Raw genomic sequence first — 253 nt, forward strand, 5'->3', positions numbered from 1 at the left:
TGTCTCTAGTTGTAGCAATTCGGAGTATATAAAAACTAATAATTTTTTTTTTAAAGAAAAAAACAAAGTAGTCATATGAATACATGATGTACCTAAGAACTTGAAGCTCCCGTTTAAGGCCTTGCTCTGTCTCAGCACCTTCAGGAACATGTTTAAGAATCTTAATCTTTGAGGACAATGAAAAGTTAGAAGATAAGGTTTGCCATGGAAATATGAGGATTTATAAAGATACACATTTTTAACAAAGCGTAAT

The 253-nt window shown here is 31.2% G+C and overlaps 1 protein-coding gene across 20 annotated transcripts in view; it reads right to left on the reverse strand.

Annotated features, from left to right (window-relative positions):
* The window catches only part of CEP290 (centrosomal protein 290), a 93073-nt gene that overhangs the window by 5232 nt on the left and 87588 nt on the right, over positions 1-253 (reverse strand). For 17 of the 20 annotated variants that reach the window (XM_017019983.3, XM_047429563.1, NM_025114.4 and 14 more), the window contains one exon: positions 93-166. The exons of the other annotated variants lie outside the window; for them this stretch is intronic. In XM_017019983.3, coding sequence (XP_016875472.1) covers positions 93-166 — 74 coding nt within the window. The remainder of the gene's footprint in view (positions 1-92; positions 167-253) is intronic. 20 annotated transcript variants of the gene reach the window in all.

The sequence above is a fragment of the Homo sapiens genome, chromosome 12, assembly GCF_000001405.40.
Source record: "Homo sapiens chromosome 12, GRCh38.p14 Primary Assembly".
In the NCBI taxonomy this organism is placed as follows: Eukaryota; Metazoa; Chordata; class Mammalia; order Primates; family Hominidae; genus Homo; species Homo sapiens.